General features: G+C 37.5%; 1 protein-coding gene across 10 annotated transcripts in view; it reads left to right on the plus strand.

The window, feature by feature from the left end:
- UVRAG (UV radiation resistance associated) overlaps positions 1-18,970 on the plus strand; it is a 329,023-nt gene that overhangs the window by 194,517 nt on the left and 115,536 nt on the right. For 9 of the 10 annotated variants that reach the window (NR_170161.1, NM_001386671.1, NM_003369.4 and 6 more), the window contains one exon: positions 7,089-7,254. Coding sequence is in view for 8 of the 10 variants with exons in the window: in NM_001386671.1 (NP_001373600.1) it covers positions 7,089-7,254 (166 nt within the window). In the remaining 2 variants the exon portion in view is untranslated. Of the gene's footprint in view, positions 1-3,200; positions 3,377-7,088; positions 7,255-18,970 lie in introns of all 10 variants that reach the window. The other variant, NR_170160.1, reaches the window with a different exon arrangement.

The raw sequence follows: 18,970 nt of genomic DNA on the forward strand, positions 1-18,970 counted from the left end.
GACGTGATAAAAGGAGAGTGATAAACCAGGAGTTGGAAAACCTGTGTTCAAGTCCTGATTGCCCCTGTATAAACCATGTAATTTGGAACAAGTAATGTAACCTTTGAGTTGATTTCCTAATTGATTGAATGAACTATTAATTTATGCCCTACCTGTCTTATATGATTGTTGTGGAAAATAAGTGAGGTATACCAGTAGCTATAAATGCATAAGATTTTGCCTAATCTTTAATACTCACAAAAACAAAGGGATCCTATAAGGAAAATGGTATTCAGTGACTTGCTTGAGGCCACAAAACTAGGTAATAATATAGCTAGGATTTGTCTGGTTTCCATTTCATAGTGCTCCCTCAGATATCTGTAAGACATTCACAAAAATGTGTTTTGATATTAATTTTAGGCAAAGTTGTGGTATCTTGAAGCCCATGGCGCATCATTTTCCTCATTGATTCATTTAGTAAACATATTGAGTACTTTTGTCCCGTACCAGTTTCCTGGGATACAGAACATTATTCATTGAAAAAAATGTTCATTGAACACCTAAATGCCAGGCACATGATGCAGAAAGTAAACATGTTCTCTCCTTCCATGGAGCTTATTGGGGGAGACAGCCAATAAACAAGAAACTAAGTAACTAGCAAGTATTTAATAAAGGAATATGCTATCCCAGAGAATGGAAGAAACTGCTTTAGATAAAGCAGTCAGAGAAGACCTCTCTAAGGAGAAATATAAAATTGAGGGCTAAAAGGAGCCAACTATGCTACAGCTGGGGGAAGAGCATTTCTAGGAGAAGGGTCACCAAGTACAAAGGTGATGATGAAGGAGGAATGGGCTTGGCATCTCTCAAAAAACTCAGCGTTTGGGGAATGTGAGAAAAGACTTGTATTTTGGGTAAATCATGTAATCTTTCAGCTTAATTTCTTATAAGATATCTATATCTGTAATTTCTTGTGATGATTGAATGAAATCACATTTGAAAAAGCTTTTCATATAGGAGGTACTCAATAAATATAATTGGAATTTGTTGCAAAAGAGAGAGGCAGGAAGGACAGTAAAGACCAGACGTGTGCAGCTGGAGCATAGTGAGCGAGGGAAGAGCTACGTTAGAAGAGGTAGGAGAGGGCAGCCAGGGCCTTGAGGTCACTATAAGGAGTTGATATTTTATTCTCGAGGAAGTAGGAAATGCCTGAGGGACTTCAAGAAGCAGGATGGCATGAGCTGAGTTAGGCTTTTAAAAGTCACTCTGGCTGCTAAATACAGAATGATTTGAAGGGGGCAGTCAGAGAAGTAGGAATATCAGGAGTGGTGGTCTGATTACTCTGAGATGTGTCTTGATTCTATTTTGTTTTCTTTGAAATTCCTTGTCTCCTAGTTTTTCATAGCTTTTGTAGTTATCTACACTTACAATGCCCAACAAGCTGAATACAGTCTCCCTACCCTTTAATAAATTAGTGTAGCTTTTTAGTGCAGTTGTTGAAAAACAAAATGTGAGATAAAATGAAATAAATGTTTAATTTTACTCTAAGGTCATATTCATTCCCATTCCCCATTACCCTTAGGAATCAGAAATTTTAAGAAGCACATGCAGTAATATTGGACTTTAAAAATCTTACATTGGCCGGGTGCGGTGGCTCACGCCTGTAATTCCAGCACTTTGGGAGGCTGAAGTGTGCAGATCATTTGAGGTCAAGAGTTTGAGACCAGCCTGACCGATATGGTGAAACACTGTTTCTACTAAAAATACAAAAAATTAGCTGGGTGTGGTGGCACACACCTGTAATCTCAGCTACTTGGGAGGCTGAGGCACGAGAATCACTTGAACCCAGAGGCAAAGGTTGCAGTGGGCTGAGATTGCACCACTGCACTCCAGCCTGAGTGACAGAGTGAGACTCTGTCTAAAAACAAAAACAAACAAATAAAATCTTATGTTAATATCCTGCAGGCACTTGCATTTACTAAATGTATTGAGTGTTCTGTGTATGTCATCCATGGTGCCAGGTGTTGAGGGTGTAAGAGATGGTTAAGACATTGATCCTGCCTCAGTGAGATTATAGTCCAGTTGAGGATATCAGATTTGTAATCAAGACAGTCAGTAAGTATTTATTGAATTCATACTCTGTGTCAGGCACTTAGAAGTTTATAGCAGGTACATGGTACTCAAAAAAGTGAGAATAATCACTTCTATCAGGAGCGATCAGGAAAACTTTTATAGAGAAGATGATTTCAGTGTCTTAAGAAATAAAATGATGTTTTCCAGTAGAAAAAAGAGTAAGAAGACATTTTAGGCTGGGTGAGTAGAAATATAGTAACATAGGCTGGGCATGGTGGCTCATGCCTGTAATCCTAGCACTTTGGGGGACTGAGGTGGGAGGATTGCTTGTGACCAGGAGTTTGAGGCTGTAGTGAGCTATGATTTTGCCACTGTACTCCAGTCTAGGTGACAGAGTGAGAACCCATTTCAAAATAGAAAATAAGAAAGGGAAATAAATATGATAACATGGAACATCATGATGTTCTCACATTTACCCTAATTCTCACAACTGTGAGAATTAATTCCATCTGTAAGGAAAGGAATTACCCTCAATTTAAAAAAGGAAAAAAAAAAAGAAAAAGAAAATTGAAGCTCAGAGAGATTAGTTAATTTTTTCAAGGAGTCATATTAAACAGTGATAAACCTAAGGTTATTCCTGGTCTGCCTGATTCTAAGATTCGTATAATTCTTGCCACAATTCAGTTTTCTTCCTCGCTTTGAATAATAACCTCTTTAAACCTGTGACAACTTTTTAGTATTCTATAGCAGCTGCTTTCTGGGAGAGACTCTAGTGAAGGAACTCCAAGCTGGTTATTCTGTGATATTCATGAGACTTTGCTGGGATAGACTTTATGCTGCATGGGGTGATACTGTTTGAGAAACTCCACCGTAGTGCTCCAACATTAGTGTGCTTTTCTAAGTGGGTAAGTTACTGTTGCAGTATGCCAAGGAGACCTGGACACAGTGGGAGAAAAATGTCCAGTGAAGGGTGTTCATCTGAGTTCCACTGACCGAGACATTTAGCTTAAAAAAAAAATGTTTGTGTGTGTGTGTGTGTGTGTGTGTGTGTGTGTGTGTGTGTGTGTGTGTGTTTAAGTAATCCATAACACGAGAGCCTTTTGTGGTAATGAGACCCAGATTTCCTTCTGTGTCTGTATCCCTTTATGCAGGCATGATTTCTTGGAAAGGAGAGTCCATATGTCAAACAATGTCTCATTGAGAACATGGAATGATTCCATAGATGCTGTGGCAGTGATTAGAGTCTTAAATATTTTGTCCTGTCTGGATCAGTGGGTGCTTGGTTCCTTAACAAATCAGCTGCCTCAGTGATTGGGAAGGCAGGATGGTAAGAGCTTTTAGATCACTTATTGTACTTGGATGCGTTTGAATATTAATAGTTTGTCCAACATATAAATCAAAGGAACATTTGAATGCATTTATAATGTTATGGCCATTGCGTGTTTGTGGAATTTGTTGTCATAAAAATTATACAAAAGCTACAGCCTTGAGTGGTTACCTACATTTTAAAAATAAACCAGGAATATTTATTATGAGGAAACTGGGTTTTAATTTTATTTTCAAGCCCCTTAAAAGTTTGTTGGAATTAGCATCTTTTTCACATACCTGAGTCTTAAGGTTCATTCGTGTTTCTCCCTGGACCGTCCACTCCTGCTCCAACTTCTCACTAACAAAACTATTGTCTGTGACCTTTCTAACCCCCAGAACAGCATAAGGTACACAAACTTCTGCTCTGCCTTAGGTGTTAGGGACGTCATTAATGCTTACTGGAAAAGCACACCCCAGAGAGCTGGGTTTTGGCTGTGGCAGGTAAAAAAATCTTTCAGATCTTGCAATGCTGGAAACCTTAAACCTTTTGGTTTTTTAGCTAAAGTGATTGGCAACAGAATGTGACATCTGAGGTTGCATGGCCTGCAATAGCCATAATTAACCACATGAGCTCACATTTTCCCACTGGAGATTCAGTGGTCTTGGGGTGATGAAAGTGACTTCCCTACCAGGAGGTGGTTTTCCTTTTGAGGGTATTGAAATACCCTTGGGCCCTGTAATGCTTCACCCATGGTCCTTTTAAAATGCTTTTTAATATAAAGGTTCAATATTGGAAATCTAACACCACAGTGTTTAACACTGAGTCTGTGATGGAGCACTATGGCCTGGAATGGGAAACCTAGAATTTTTAATAGGTGGAGTGGGAAGACTTGTGGCAAGAATGGTGAGTGTGAATAACCTGAATCAAAGCTGATTTCCAATATTATTCAATTTTCAGTGTGTGCTATTTCTTTTTGTTTTATTTCTGTGTGTAGACTTCTCTTAGAGATGCCTTTTTATCTTTAAACAAAGTTGTTTTGTTCATTGGTGGGAAGTGATGTTAGAAAATCAACTTTTGGTTATTTTAATAGAGATGTGGATGTAGTCTCAAAATATACAAATATAATTCTTTAGCAGTCCTCCTTTCATAATATGGGGAAAATGTAGATGCTTGAATGTTTAGCATTAGATAGATAGTTTTGAAACATTCATTGTTTGCATTTGACTTGCTTGAAAGGCTAATTTAAGAGGCCTGCTCCTTTCTGGAAGTTTTCAAATCCTCTTCTGTCAGGTCATATAGGAAAGGAAAAGCTTTGTATAAAGCACATAGAGGGAAGTTGCAACTTAGCATAGTATTATCTGTCTTTAAGTCCTCATCTTCTTCCTCTTCCCCTCTCTCTTCAAAAGGTGGTTATTGAAGATCAAGTCCTTTTACTGACAGGAATATTTTAAATTTGATAAGACCTAATCTTTACGGAAAGCACGAGGCAGAATTCAGTCACCTGTGAAGAAACTCACAGTTACAGCTGTGACTCCACACCTGTATAGGTATTCTGGAGGATTGTGGACACAATTCTTTCAGTTACTTCATCACTCATAGTTTCTACCTATGTGGCTTTGACCAAGCCATTTATACCACCTGGGTCTCATTTCTCTCTTCTCCAAGTTGGTAGCATCAGAGTCAGTGATTGTGAAAGTTTCTCTTAGTTCTATTATTGTATGATAATGAATTTATAATGTAACAAATTTATAATGTAAAGTACTTTTAGTCCCTAAGGTAGTCTGATGTACGGGTTTCAGCAGAAGGAAAGTGTTGTAGTAGTATTCAAGGTACTTGGGTGGGACTGGGGCAAGAGGACACGGTCTCTAAAAATAATTAGGATTCTAGTTAGTTAGAGCATGACTCAGTAGTTGGTTGAAAATTACTGCTGTTTGATTTTTTTCCATGGGTTTGTTTTAGAGAACAGACATTCCTTGAGAAGCCCATTTTCTGTTGAGTACTATGCAAGTCATCGAGGACTCTCAGACTTTTTATGTGCTCTTTGCTCTTACTAGAAAACTGTGAAGAAACTAAGGTGGTACACGTGTGTCATATGCTTGGTACATTCGAGGCTCCCAAGTTAAAAAATTGTTATATGCTGGGCACAGTGGCACAAACCTGTAGTCCCAGTTACTTGGGAGGCTGAGGCATGAGGATTGCTCGAGCCCAGGAGTTTGAGGTCGGCCTGGGCAACATAGTGAGACCTCATCTTTTTTTAAAAAATAATTGTTATATTAATGTTTAACAATAAATTTATGAGACAGTACAGTAGACTGGTTAATCGTGGAAGATTGGGTGTCAAGCCAACCTGTTTACTAGCTGTATTACTTTGGAAGGATTCCTTAATCTCTGAGCCTTAGTTTGTTTATCTGTAAAAGGAATGCAATAGCATTTAAAAGGTGTTTAACATTGTTAGTGAATGAATGAATGTCATATATAAAGTACTATAGACAGTTCTGGACAGAAAAAAGTATATATATAAAAAAATATATAAATAGTTACCTATTTTTATAAGACTACCAAAGAAAAACAAATAGTCTGCTATGGTAGTTAAGGGTAGAGAATTCACTGAGGAATGGATCTCTGTAGTGGCACTTCTACCATAAGAAGGTAGTGCTTACGTAATTAAGTGGAAACAGAAAGAAGAATGCGAAAATTTTTATTGGTAATTGAGGTTAAAGCCACCCTTAGAAGTCAGGGAATAGTCAAGGCATGGTCATTGTGATCATTTCAGCCCTTCTTCTCTAGCCAGATGGGATATTCCAGATTATGTGTTAAATGTTTTAGTGTATGAGTGCACACACGTGCACTTGTGCACTTTTAAAAGCATTTAGGAATACTGTATACCAAGAAGATCCTGTTTCCTTCCTCTTGGGGGAAGTTTAAAACTTTCTGTTGTATTACTCCCTTAGCCCCTGAATCATCATTTATCACTTGATAGATAGTGGCAGAAATCTGGATAAGTTTAGAAAATGTAATTGTCTGTGGCTTTTTGAAAGCTAGATGCTTATGTCTGATTATAAGATACCTGCATTTTTTCCTAGTAGTTGCTTCCACCTATATTACATAAATAGGGTGGTATATGAACAGTGTGGTTTTTCACCTTTTGCTTTTGCTGTTTAAAGCATTTTCCCCCTTAACCCATATTTAACTTCATAGACTTATTATGTAACCCTGTCTTTTTCAATATCAAGAACATACCCCATAAGAATGATTATACTATTTCATTTCCCTTTAGAATTAATAATGTTGTAAAATAGTACAACTATATTGTCTAGGAAATTCTTAATGAATAAAATGTATAACCACTGTATAGTGTGTTAAGTTTAAACCTCTGAAGCTAATTTTCATATCATGTAATAGACTCAAGTATTAATTCATCCTGTAAAAATGCTGGGAAAGAAAGCAATGGTTATTTGGACATAGTAAGAGTTCTTGCTTTAAGGTATATATCAAATGTTAATCTCATCACATTAATTATTGGGAAATAGTTTAAAATACAGTTAGTAGATGAAGTTTCAAGTCTTGTTAATGTGTTTACATTTGCATAAAATTTATATAATTTAGATAAGTGGTTAATATTTTATGTACCACATATTTTTATAAAATATTCTTTGAAAATTATTTATTATCTTATGGTTATTTATAAGGTAAATAGTTATTTTCTTTTCCTCTGCTTTTGAATTTACAGCAAAAGATGATGGAAGCATTGCTGTTGCCCTTGGTTATACTGCACATCTGGTCTCCATGATTTCCTTTTTCCTACAAGTGCCCCTCAGATATCCTATAATTCATAAGGGGTCTAGATCAACAATCAAAGACAATATCAATGACAAACTGACGGAAAAGGAGAGAGAGTAAGTGTCTTTTTTTTAAAAAAATGATTTTAACATCAAGCCAGTATAAAACATGGGGTATAACAAAATACATAAAATGTAATCTAAATTATGACAACTTTTATATAACCTTTGTAGAGTGCCTCATTCATTTAAATCAAATGTAGTTATTATGTGAAACTAGTTATTCATATAAATTTTAATGACTCAACCCCTGGGCTTCCAAGAATTGCTAATGGTGGCAAAAATTTACTTAAGTTTCATTTACTTTCTTCTTACTTTTGTGAGGATAAGTGTCATATGATCTACAAATATTCACCTAGTACCTCTTGCCTGCCACTCAACAAGTAAAATGTTAAAAGATTTGTCAGAGATCTAACTAGGAAAAGATATAATGGCAGATTGAACATAGCTGAAAAGTAGATTAGTGAATTGGAAGATAGGTCAGCAGAAAATACAAGTGTCTAATATACATATAATTTCAGGCACAGAGAGGCTGGAAAGATTGTGAGGTAAACACAAAATTTTAAGAGATAATGACTAAGAATTTTCAAATTTAACAAAAGACATGAAATTACAAATTCAAGAAGCACTAACAAAACAGAATGACAATAAAGAAAACATACCTGGGGAAATTAAACAGCTGAATATCAAAGAGAAAGTGAAAATACTAAAAGCAACTAGAGAGAAAGACATGATAGCATGAAAAGATTGATAGTAAGACTGAAAGCTGATTTCTCAATGGAACAATGGAAGCCAGATGGTGATGCAGTGACATTTTAAAATATGGAAAAAACAGAACTGTCCACTTAGAATTCTATACCCAGTGAAAATATTATTCAAAAGTACAGGCAAAATAAAGATATTTCAGACCATCAAAACTGAGAAAATATATCGCAGCAGACCTGCAGTAAAGGAAATACTAAAGGAAGAATAAAAATAATTTCAAAAAGAAACATGGAAATACAGTACAGAACAAAGAATAAGAGAAAGGAACAAAGAATAAGAGAAAGGATAAAGATGTATTTCTAAATTCATTTTGACTATAAATAAATACTAATGTCTTCTTAAATATAACATGCATATACATAATAATATATGTAGGTTTATAATGCATGGTTCTAACACAAAAAGTAAAAAGGGTTGAGTGGGGTTAAAGTGCTCAGAGATCTTAGCATTGTCTGGAAAATGGTAAAGGTACTAATTTATATTCAGACTAATAAACATGCATATTGTACTTTTCTTTTTTTTTGCCTTCAGCACTTTAAATATGTAACATCACTCTCTCCTGTCCTGTTAGTCTTCCACTGTAAAGTCTGCTGCCAGATGAATGGGAGCTCCATTGTATGTTACTTGTTTCTTTAAAAAAAAAAAAGATAGAGCTTTATTGTGAAAAATCATTTGATTGCTAATGTAATCCAATTATTTGGTTCCACTGTGTTTTTTTTGTTGTTGTTGTTTGTTTTTTTGAGATGGAGTCTTGCTCTGTTGCCAGGCTGGAGGGCAGTGGCGCAATCTCGGCTCACTGCAACCTCCACCTCCTGGGTTCAACAATTCTCCTGCCTCAGCCTCCCGAGTAGCTGGGAATACAGGCACGCACCAGCACGCCCAGCTAATTTTTGTATTTTTAGTAGAGACGAGGTTTCACCATGTTGGCCAGGATGGTCTCAATCTCTTGACCTCATGATCCACCCACCTTGGCCTTCCAGAGTACTGGGATTACAGGCCATTGTGTGATTTTATAGCATTCTTTGCCATTGCTTTATTTATATTTATCCTTGTTTCTTTTCTCCTGCTGCTTTTAGGATCTTCTCTTTATACTTGACCTTTGGGAGTTTGATTGTTAAATGCTTTAAGGTAGTCTTCTTTGAGTTAAATCTGTGTGGTGTTCTGTAACCTTCTTGTACTTGAATATTGATATTTTTTCCTAGGTTTGGGAAGTTCTCTGTTATTATTCCTTTCTACTCCTATCTCTTTCTCGACCTCCTCTTTAAGGCCAGTAACTCTTAGGTTTGCCCTTTGAGGCTATTTTCTAGTTCTGTAGGCATGCTTCATTCTTTTTTATTCTTTTTTCTTTTGTCTCCTCTGACTGAGCATTTTCAAATAGCCTGTCTTCAAGACCACTAATTCTATCTTCTTCTTGATCAATTCTGCTATTAAGAGACTTTGATGCATTCTTCAGTATTTCAGTTGCATTTTTCACCTCTAGAATATCCACTTGATTCTTTTTAATTATTTCAATCTCTTTGTTAAATTTATCTGATAGAAGTCTGAATTCCTTCTCTGTATTATCTTGAATTTCTTTGTGTTTCCACAAAACGGCTATTTTGAATTCTCTGTCCGAAAGATCACATACCTCTGTTTCTCCAGAATTGGTCCCTGATGCCTTATTTAGTTAATTTGGGGAGGTCATGTTTTCCTTGATGGCCTTGATGCTTGTGGATGTTTGCCAGTGTCTGGGCATTGAAGAGTTTAGGTATTTACTATAGTCTCCACAGTGTGGGCTTGTTTATACCTGTCTTTCTTGGGAAGGCTTTCCAGGTTTTTGAAAGGACTTGGATGTTGTGATCTAAGCTGTATCTGCATTAGGGGGAACACTAAGCTCAGTAACACTGTGGTTCTTGCAGTCTTGTAGAGGTACCACTTGGTGGTCTTGGATAAGATCCAGAAGGGTTCTCTGGATTACCAGGCAGAGATTCCTGTTCTCTACCATTACTTTTTCTCAGTCTCTCTCTCTATGCTGAGCCATCTGGAGCTGGGAGTAGGGAGACACAATCACCCTCGTGGCCTCCACCACTGGGATTTCCCTGGTTCAGACCTGATGCCAGCATAGGACTGGGTCTTATCCTAGGCCCTGTGTAACCTCTACCTGGCTACCACCTATGTTTGCTCAAGACCCTGTGGCTCTACAATTAGCAGGTGGTGAAGCCAGCCAGGATTGTGTCCTTCCCTTCAGGGCAGCAAGTTTCCCCCGGCCCCTGAGCAGGTCCAGAGATGCTGTTTAGGAGGCAAAGACTGGAGTCCAAAACCTTAGAAATCTATCTGGTTCTCTATTCTATTGCGGCTAAGCTGGTGCTTAAACTCTAAGACAAAGTCCTTCCCACTTTTCCCTCTCCTTATTATACGCAGAGGTTTCTCTTCACTTGGCCACCATCACCTAGACCCACGGTGGGTACTGTCAGGCTATCACTGATGTTCACTTAAGGCTCAAGGGCTCTTCAGTTAGCTTGTGGCGAATGCTGCCACACCTGGGAGTCACACTTCAGGGCAGAGGGTTCCCCTCTGGACCAGGACACGTCCAGAAATGCCATCCAAGAGCCAAGGCCTGGAATCAGGGACCCCAAAAGCCCATTTGGTGCTCTACTCCACTGTGGCCAAGCTGGTACCTGAAAACAGCACATCTCAGAGTCTCACCCAAGGCCCACAGCTTACTGTCTAGCTATTACTCCTGGTTCTTCAGGGCCCAAGGGCTTTTTGGTCACAGGTGATGAATCCTGCCAGGACTTGGTCCTTCCTTTTAAGGCAACACATTCCCTTCTGGCCCAGCGTGGGTCTAGATATGTCATCTGGGAGCTAGGGCCTGGAATGGGGGCCTCATGATTGCCCAGTGCCCTATCCTATTGTGGCTAAGCTGGTATCCAAGATGCAAGACAAAGTCTCCCTTCTCCCAACAAGCAGAAAGAAGGAGTCTTTTTTTTTTTTTTTTTTTTTTTTGCTGCAGGCTGCGCTGCCTAAGGTTGGTGAAGGGGTGTCACAAGAACTTCCTTAGCCACCCCGGCTAGTGTCCCATGTCCATTGCCTCTAAGGCCAGCACTAGCACTAGGACTTACCTAGGAATTGCAGTCTTCACAGCCTAGACTGTCTTTCAAGATTATTTAGAACCCCAGAGCACCTTTTCCGTGGTAGAAAGTTTTGCCAAAACTCAAGTTCTAACCACTGGGATGGGCGATTCCCCTCTGACTAGGGCTGATCTAAATGCTGCCTCCATGGATGGGCATTGGCTGAGTTTAGTCCAGTTTTGTTTCCCACTGTGACAGAGCAGCACTGAGTTGAATGCAAAGTACCACAATCGCTGTGCTCTCCCTCCCTCAAGAGCACAGATGCTCTGTATCTCATGGCCGCTGCTGAAGGAGTGGGGAAGGGGCGGCGTCAGCAATTCAAGTCTGTCTTTCCTACCGTCTTCAATGCCTTTTTCAGCTATATGAAGTTAAAACCAGGTACTGTGATTGCTTACCTGATTTTTGGTTCTTATGTAGGTGCTTTTTTGTGTGTGTAGATGGTTGTTAAATTGGTGTTCCTGCAAGGTTAGCAGGGGAACAATCGGTGAAAGCATCTATTCAGCCATCTTGCTTCACCCTCCTCATGGTGTTTTCTTATAATCCTTTTCATTTCTGTAAGGTTTGTAGTAATGTCCCCACTTTCATTTCTCATTTTACTGCATTTTCTTTCTTCTTTTTCATAGTCATTCTAGTTAAAGATTTGTCAATTTCTTTTCAAAGAAAAGACTTGTGGTTTTGTTGATTCTCTCTAGTGTTTTTTTGCTCTCCATTTTGTGTATCTCTGCTCTTATCTTTATTATCTCCTTCATTCTGCTAGCTTTGTGTTTTATTTTCTTTTTTCTCTAGTTTCTTAAAGATGGCAACTTAGGTTAATGAGATCTTTCTTTTATAATGTCAGTGTTTACACCTATAAAATAGTTTCCATACCCCATTCATTTTTGTATGTTATGTTTTTTTAAATTAAAGTCAAAGTATTTTCTAATTTCCCTGTGATTTCTTTATTGACCACTGGTTGTTTATGAGAGCATTCTTTGGCTGGGCCTAGTGGCTCATGCCTGTAATCCCAGCACTCTGGGAGGCCAAGGCAGGCAGATACTTTGAGGCCAGGAGTTTGAGACCAGCCTAGACAACATGGCGAGACACTGTCTTTACAAAAAATACAAAAATTAGCTGAGCGTGGTGGTGTGCACCTATAGTCCCAGCTACTCAAGAAGCTGAGGTGGGATAATTGATTAAGCCCAGGAGGCGAAGGCTGCAGTGAGCCAAGATTGCAGCACTGCATTCCAGCCTGGGTGACAGAGCAAGACCCTGTCTCAAAAAAAAAAAGAGCATTAATTTTCACATATTTGTGAATTTTCTAGTTTTCCTTTCATTATTGAGTTCTCGTTTTATTCCATTGTGACAGAGAAGCAGAGATGATAGTTTTATGATTGTAATATTTTTTAAATTATGAAGACTTGTTTTGTGGCCTAATGTATTGTCTATCCTGGAGAACATTCTACATGCACTTGAGAAAAATGTGTATTCTGCTGTCATTAGATGCTATTTATGTCTGTTAGATCTAGTTGGTTTATGATGTTCTCAAGTCCTCGATTTCCTTATTGATCTTCTGTCTAAATGTTCCATTTATGACTGGGAATAGAGTATTGAATTCTTCAACTATTAGTGTAAAACTGTATATTTCTCCTTTCAATTCTGTCAACATTTGCTTCATATATTTTAGACCTCTGTTGTTTTGTGCACATATTTCTTGTTATGTCTGCCTGATGAATTGACCCTTTTATTGGTATATTTTTGCCTCTTATAACAACTTTTGACCAAAAGACTGTTTTATCTGATATTAGTATGACCACCCCAGCTCTCCTTTGGTTACTATTTGCATGGACTGTCTTTCCCATCTTTTCACTTTGAACCTTTTTATCTAGAATAAGTCTCTTGAAGATGGCATATAGTTGGAGCATGCCTTTTATGCATTCCTCCAATCTCTGCCTTTGGATTAGAGTTTTTAATCCACTTACACTTAGTTACTGGTAGGGAAAAACTTACTTATGCCACTTTGCTATTTGTTTTCTGTATGTCTTATGCTTTTTTTGTGTCTCATTTCCTTTATTACTGCCTTCTTTTGTGCTTAGTTGATATTTTTTGAGGTGTACCCTTTTGATTCCTTTCTCATTTCCTTTTCTGTGTATTTTATAGATTTTTTATGGTTATGATGGGATTTTAATTAACACCCTACATTTATAACATTCTAGTTTGAACTGATACCAGTTAGCTTCAGTAGCATATAAAAACTCTGTTTCTATACACCTCTCCTCCTCCCTCCCATCTTTATGTTGTTGTTGTCACAAATTGCATCATTATACATTGTGTGCCCATAATACTGTCTTTTTTATTTACATATGTAATTACCTTTTCTGGATTTTTATTTCTTTATACAGCTTCAAGTTACTATCTATGGTCCTTTAATTTCAGTTGAAGGCCTTAGCCTTCACTTTCTGGTTGCACTAAGCCTAGCTGTCAGCCAGAGGGGAAAGTGTAGGCCCTTCAGGTTTTTTCTGAACATGCATCTTGTTTCGGGCATGAATGTAGCTTCTACATTCCCCACTATACTTGGACACTTTTGAATGACCTAATTTCTCAAAGAAACTCTCTCCAGCTTTTCTTCCCAGGCTTTAGGCAATCTGTTTTATGTCTGAACTGTAATTTTTTTGCCCCAGGTGGCTCTGGGTTGTTTGTTTGCCTTACTGCTTGAACATTTGTTAGCTGCTTTTCAGTTCTGAGTGAGTTCAGACTAGGTGAGGAACAAGGGAAAGTGACTTGCATTAGTCCTTCAGGTAGCCACCAGACAAGTTAGAACAGACACACTTTGTTTTTAGAATAAGAATCTGATCAAAAAATGAGGTGTCATACTGAGAGGGCAGGCTGTTGTCTTCAAGACCTATGCTGAGCTGGAGAGGAGGGTGGGGCCAAGGCAAGTCAAAAAGCTGCAAAACTTTCTTCCTGGTTTTGAGTTTCTTTTTTCTTGATTTAATGTTCAGACAATTGATATAAACCTTTGACTGTTTTCCGGGGTTTTGACAAAGTTGATTTTGACAATTTTTCTTGATTTTTTCTTTTTAGATGTTTCCCTGGAGGGATAGGTCTTTGGCTATATCTACTGTACCATTTTTGCTGACATCATTTGGTTTGTTTAATGATGAAAAACATGGCTTATAAGGGATGAAGGGACGCCTAGATGATTTTAAGCAAAAGAGAATACCATGACCAGATATATACTTAAGAAAGATCACCTTGTAGTTCTCTGGAGACTGGGATATTTCCAACCAGCCTTCTCCTAGTGCCGTAATGTTCAAATTAAGTGTCTTTCCAGATTTTTATCAAAATTTTTCATGATAATCAGACTTTAAAATTAGTTATCCAGGAAAATCACTTTGCGAGCTTGCAGGAAGGGTGTTCCTTGAGATGGTAAATATTCTTGCTCCAGATCAGTTGCACACTTTAATTTGTGAAGTAGCAACTTAATATGTGGGCAATTTCAAGTAGCATGCCCCAGTGTGAGTAGCAGCAGTGATTTATTAATTGATTGGTTGATTTTCTCGAGTGATCTGGTAAGGCCAGCTGGTTTTAGGTGATTATGTTATCCCTTTTTTCCTTGGCAGCCAGAGGAACCACAGGAATTGCATTTTGGTGAATGAATTTTATATTCTTCCTCTATCTTCCTCCTTTTGCTGAAACACAAATTGTATTTTGTTGATTTTGATATATACATTTTGGGCATTTTAATATTGATAAAAATGAGATGCATCTTATAATTAATGGGCATGTCATATTATAATTGATAGTACTTTTCTTAGTGTTACATAAGTTAATGATGCATTTTACAATTGATGCTGTCTTAGATTTTAGGAACTCTTAAGTGTTTTAGCTGGTTTTATGCATTTTTGTGAAGTACTTCAAATCCTTTTTGGAATAACATGGATGTATAAATAAATATATAAATAGAAATATGTTTAGTGATTATGCTTATGCCTCAGTTATTCTTAGCCTGGATCACTGAAAGAGCAAATTAGACATGGTTTTTCTTTCTCTTGTTTTCAATTTTGATGTAAACCTTTCCAGGACATTAGATGGAATCAGATCTTCATGGGAGATGGCAAGTAGAAATTGAATGACTCATTGGATAAATTATAATTAATGTAATGGCCCTAGGAATTTTCAGCCTCTCCCCTCTCTGATTATCTATCTCATCTGGCTATTGGCACTTGAGATGTTAAAGTTCAAAGCTCTATTTAGCCAGTTTTGCTGGAAGAGAAAAAGACCGATTTCTTTTCTTTGTCTGGCCAGTTTGAAACACAGGCCTGGACTGATGCCTTGTCTAAACCATTACTTGTGCACCTGCATACTGTAAAGGGAAACTCTGAAATCTTTGCTGCGTTTCACTGTGAGGCTCAGACCACAAAACATGAGGAATGTAACCAGAGTCCAGCTGCAGTGTTCCTCCACCCCCCACTTCTTTCACTGAGGACTGAAAAGTATGTTTTAAAGTGATTTTTGGAATGAAATTCATTAGTCATTGTTATTGTGCTACTTAACTGTCTGGTAGATAATAAATTCAGAATGGATTAGTGAAACAAGCCATGAGTTAGGACCTAGCTGATCAGAGCATATGGCTTTTTCAAGGCCTTAAAAGATGTCTGAAGTTTGTTTTATTCTCAGGAGGAGAAACAGGGGGTGGTATAATTGGCAGGCACTTTTGAAACTTTCTGGCCTGCTCACAACAATACTTTTATAAATCTCTAAAAGATGGTCAGCCATTTTTCTGTTGTAGAATTATTGGAACTTAGAGAAATGGTAATGCTGTTTCCTTGATTTTGTGTACTTATGTTTGTTCCTATGGAGGATCCTGACCTTACCAAAACCCCAAGAGTTGCCCTTTTTACCTGATTGATTCTGATTTCAAGACAGAATTTCTAAAGTATAAAGAAATTGTGATGTGTTCAAAATCAGATAATATTGGGCCAAGATCATAGTCATTGCATGTGGACCTGATTCTCATTAGAGTGGAATGGTCTAACACCTTTTTTGTGACTAGGTGCATAAGGCGGTCATATATCCTATGTATAAAGAGGTTGGCCAAACAGGTCCCCAAGTCTTATGACCTGCGTTTTTTATTATTCTTGCAGCCACATAGACAGGTCAAGAGGATTATGGACCTTCCCGTTCTGCATAGCTAGTTTGCATTTTACCAAGAGGGAAGAGACAAAGGAGTTTTCAGAGTAGCAGTGAGCAGGCTGATTCCTTATCTCTGTATTCCCTCAGCCTACCTCTTGGCTGAGCAACACTAACTTGATAAATAAATGAATGAAAATGTCTTTCTGATGGCCTCTTCTTGAAACAATTAGAATACCTTGAGCTTTATTTGTATAAGTAATAAGTTTTCTGTAGAAATAGTGAGTGGCACCCAGAATTTTATTGGTAAAAAGCTTATATTGAAAACATAAATGAAAATTCCAGAACTCTAGTTTTCAGACTGCTGTAATTCTGACTCCTCATTTCTATTATTACCTGCTTCAGGCATACTTAAACACCTGTTGACAACATCTTATATTAAGAATTACATATTCCTTCCTATAAAAATTCTCAGCTTCTGTTTGTTAATCAAGCTATTTTAGTGCAGAGAGTTCAGAAATGATTGTTGTTTTCACTAGATTAGCATCTGTTTGCTTTCATGGCATCCAATTAAATCTGATGGCCTTCTTCCAGAAATGGGGAATTTTCATATCATGCTTAGGCTTAAATGCTATGGCCTTCATTTCCAACTCTCTTCTGTGTATCCTATAAATTAGAACATTTCTTATAACCTTTCATCTTCATTTTATTGTAGGTTGTTGCTCAGATGTTGGCATTTAGAGCACTCAGTAGACCCAGACCCTAAACCTTTAAATTGGATGATAAATACATTGACTTGAGGCAGTGGAAAAGAGTGGACCAAATGCTTTGGTTCTCTATCTTCCTTGCTATGCAACTTTAAAGTATAATTAAGCAAATATTTTTCAGGGTGACTAATACTACTGAAATGAATGAAAATTGTTAGTTCTTTTGGATTTTCCACTTGATTACAGGAATTTGACCTAACTTGAAAAATCTCTGTTCATGTGAAAACTTTCCCAAATGTCTGTAGTCCAATTCTCTATAATTACCTAACAGTACACCATGGAACAGAAATCAAGGTGAAAAAAAAAAAGTCCATGCAGAATTGTAGACTTACTGTGTTTTAGAACCAGTCGGAATATTATTACATCATCTGATTGAACCCTTCATTTCACAAATGGAGAAACAGGTTGAAAGATGAAGTGAGGTCATACAAGTTAACTAAGCATTCATTTTGATATGCCCCCCTGAGGAGAGGCAAGCCCAGAAGATGAAGTGCTAATTATTAAGTTTTGTACTTGTAAAGCAAACATATAGGAGATGGAAGAAGTATTTTTATCAAAATGGGTCTGCACTGGAGCCTGAAATACTCCCTTTTCCTGATTTAGGGAAAGCACTCTTGTAAAGAATGCAGAAATGTGAATCTCTGAATATTAAGCAGTTACTCTGTTACTTTCTCACTGAAAATGTTAATTATTCAAATCACACTTATTAGTTAGTTCATTCGACATTTGTTTTTTCTCTAAAAGGTATGGTGCAAAATGCATCTCTTTTTTTCTCTCTTGCCTCCAATTTAAACTTGACAAAATTTTTGTTTTTTATTTCCAATTATTTTGGACTTTGGGGTCATGTTGGCTTCTCTCTTATTGCTGAGTGACTGTGGCAATGTTCTCCTCTCTGAGTCTTGGTTCTCCTGGCATAGTACCTATGTCACTATGCCACTAGGTTGTTGTAAGGATTAAATAAGCGCAGTGCTTGGCATACAGAAAATGCTTAACAAAATTTTGCAACTACTGTTATGTATACGTTGAGCTTTGCAATAGGAATCCTAGGCATGTAAGTTTTTATTCTGTGTGCTAGATAGAAGATGGGCCTAATAAAGGGCAAGGAATATTAAAAATGTAATCCAGTGGGAAAGTACTGTATTTCCTTTTGTAATAGTGTTGTGAGGTACATCATCTTTAAGTCAATGGTCTAAGTGCAGAGGACTAGTGAAGTTCCCCATAATGCAGGGATAAAAACTGGTGTAGGTCTGAAGGCTTGTCTGTTTACAGGCATACCTCATTTTTTTGCATTTTACATTATTGTGCTTCATAGAGACTGCATTTTTTACAAATTGAAGGTTTGTGGTAACCTTGCATCAAGCAAGTCTGTCAGTGGTATTTTTCCAACAGCATGTGCTCACTTTGTGTCTCTGTCACATTTTATTAACTTTCACAATATTTCAAGCTTTTCATTATTATTATATCTATTGTGGTGACCTATAATCAATGATCTTTCATGTTATTGTTGTAATTATTTTGGGACAATACAAACCACACCAATATAAGATGGCAGACTTAATCAATGTTGTGTGTGTTCTGACTGCTCCACTGACCAGCTCTTCCCCCATCTCTCTCCCTCTCCTCAAACCTCCATAGTCCCTGAGACACAACATTATTGAAACTAGACCAATTAATATAGCCCTATAATGGCCTCTAAGTGTTCAAGTGAAAGGAAGAGTTCCAATATCTCATTTTAAATTAAAAGCTAGGAATGATTGAGCTTAATGAGGAAAGAATGTGAAAAGCTGAGATGGGCTGAAAGCTAGGCCTCTTGTGTGAAAGAGCCAAGTTGTAAATTCAAAGGAAAAGTCCTTGAAAGAAATTAAAAGTGCTACTCCAGTGAACATACAAATGATAAGAAAGTGAAAAGACTTATTGCTGATATGGATAGAGTTTTAGTGGTCTGGATAAAAAAGTCAAACCAGCCGCAACATTCCCATAAGCCAAAGCCTAATCCAGAGCAACGACCTAACTTTCTTCAGT

The sequence above is a fragment of the Homo sapiens genome, chromosome 11 (genome assembly GCF_000001405.40).
Source record: "Homo sapiens chromosome 11, GRCh38.p14 Primary Assembly".
NCBI classification, from domain to species: Eukaryota; Metazoa; Chordata; class Mammalia; order Primates; family Hominidae; genus Homo; species Homo sapiens.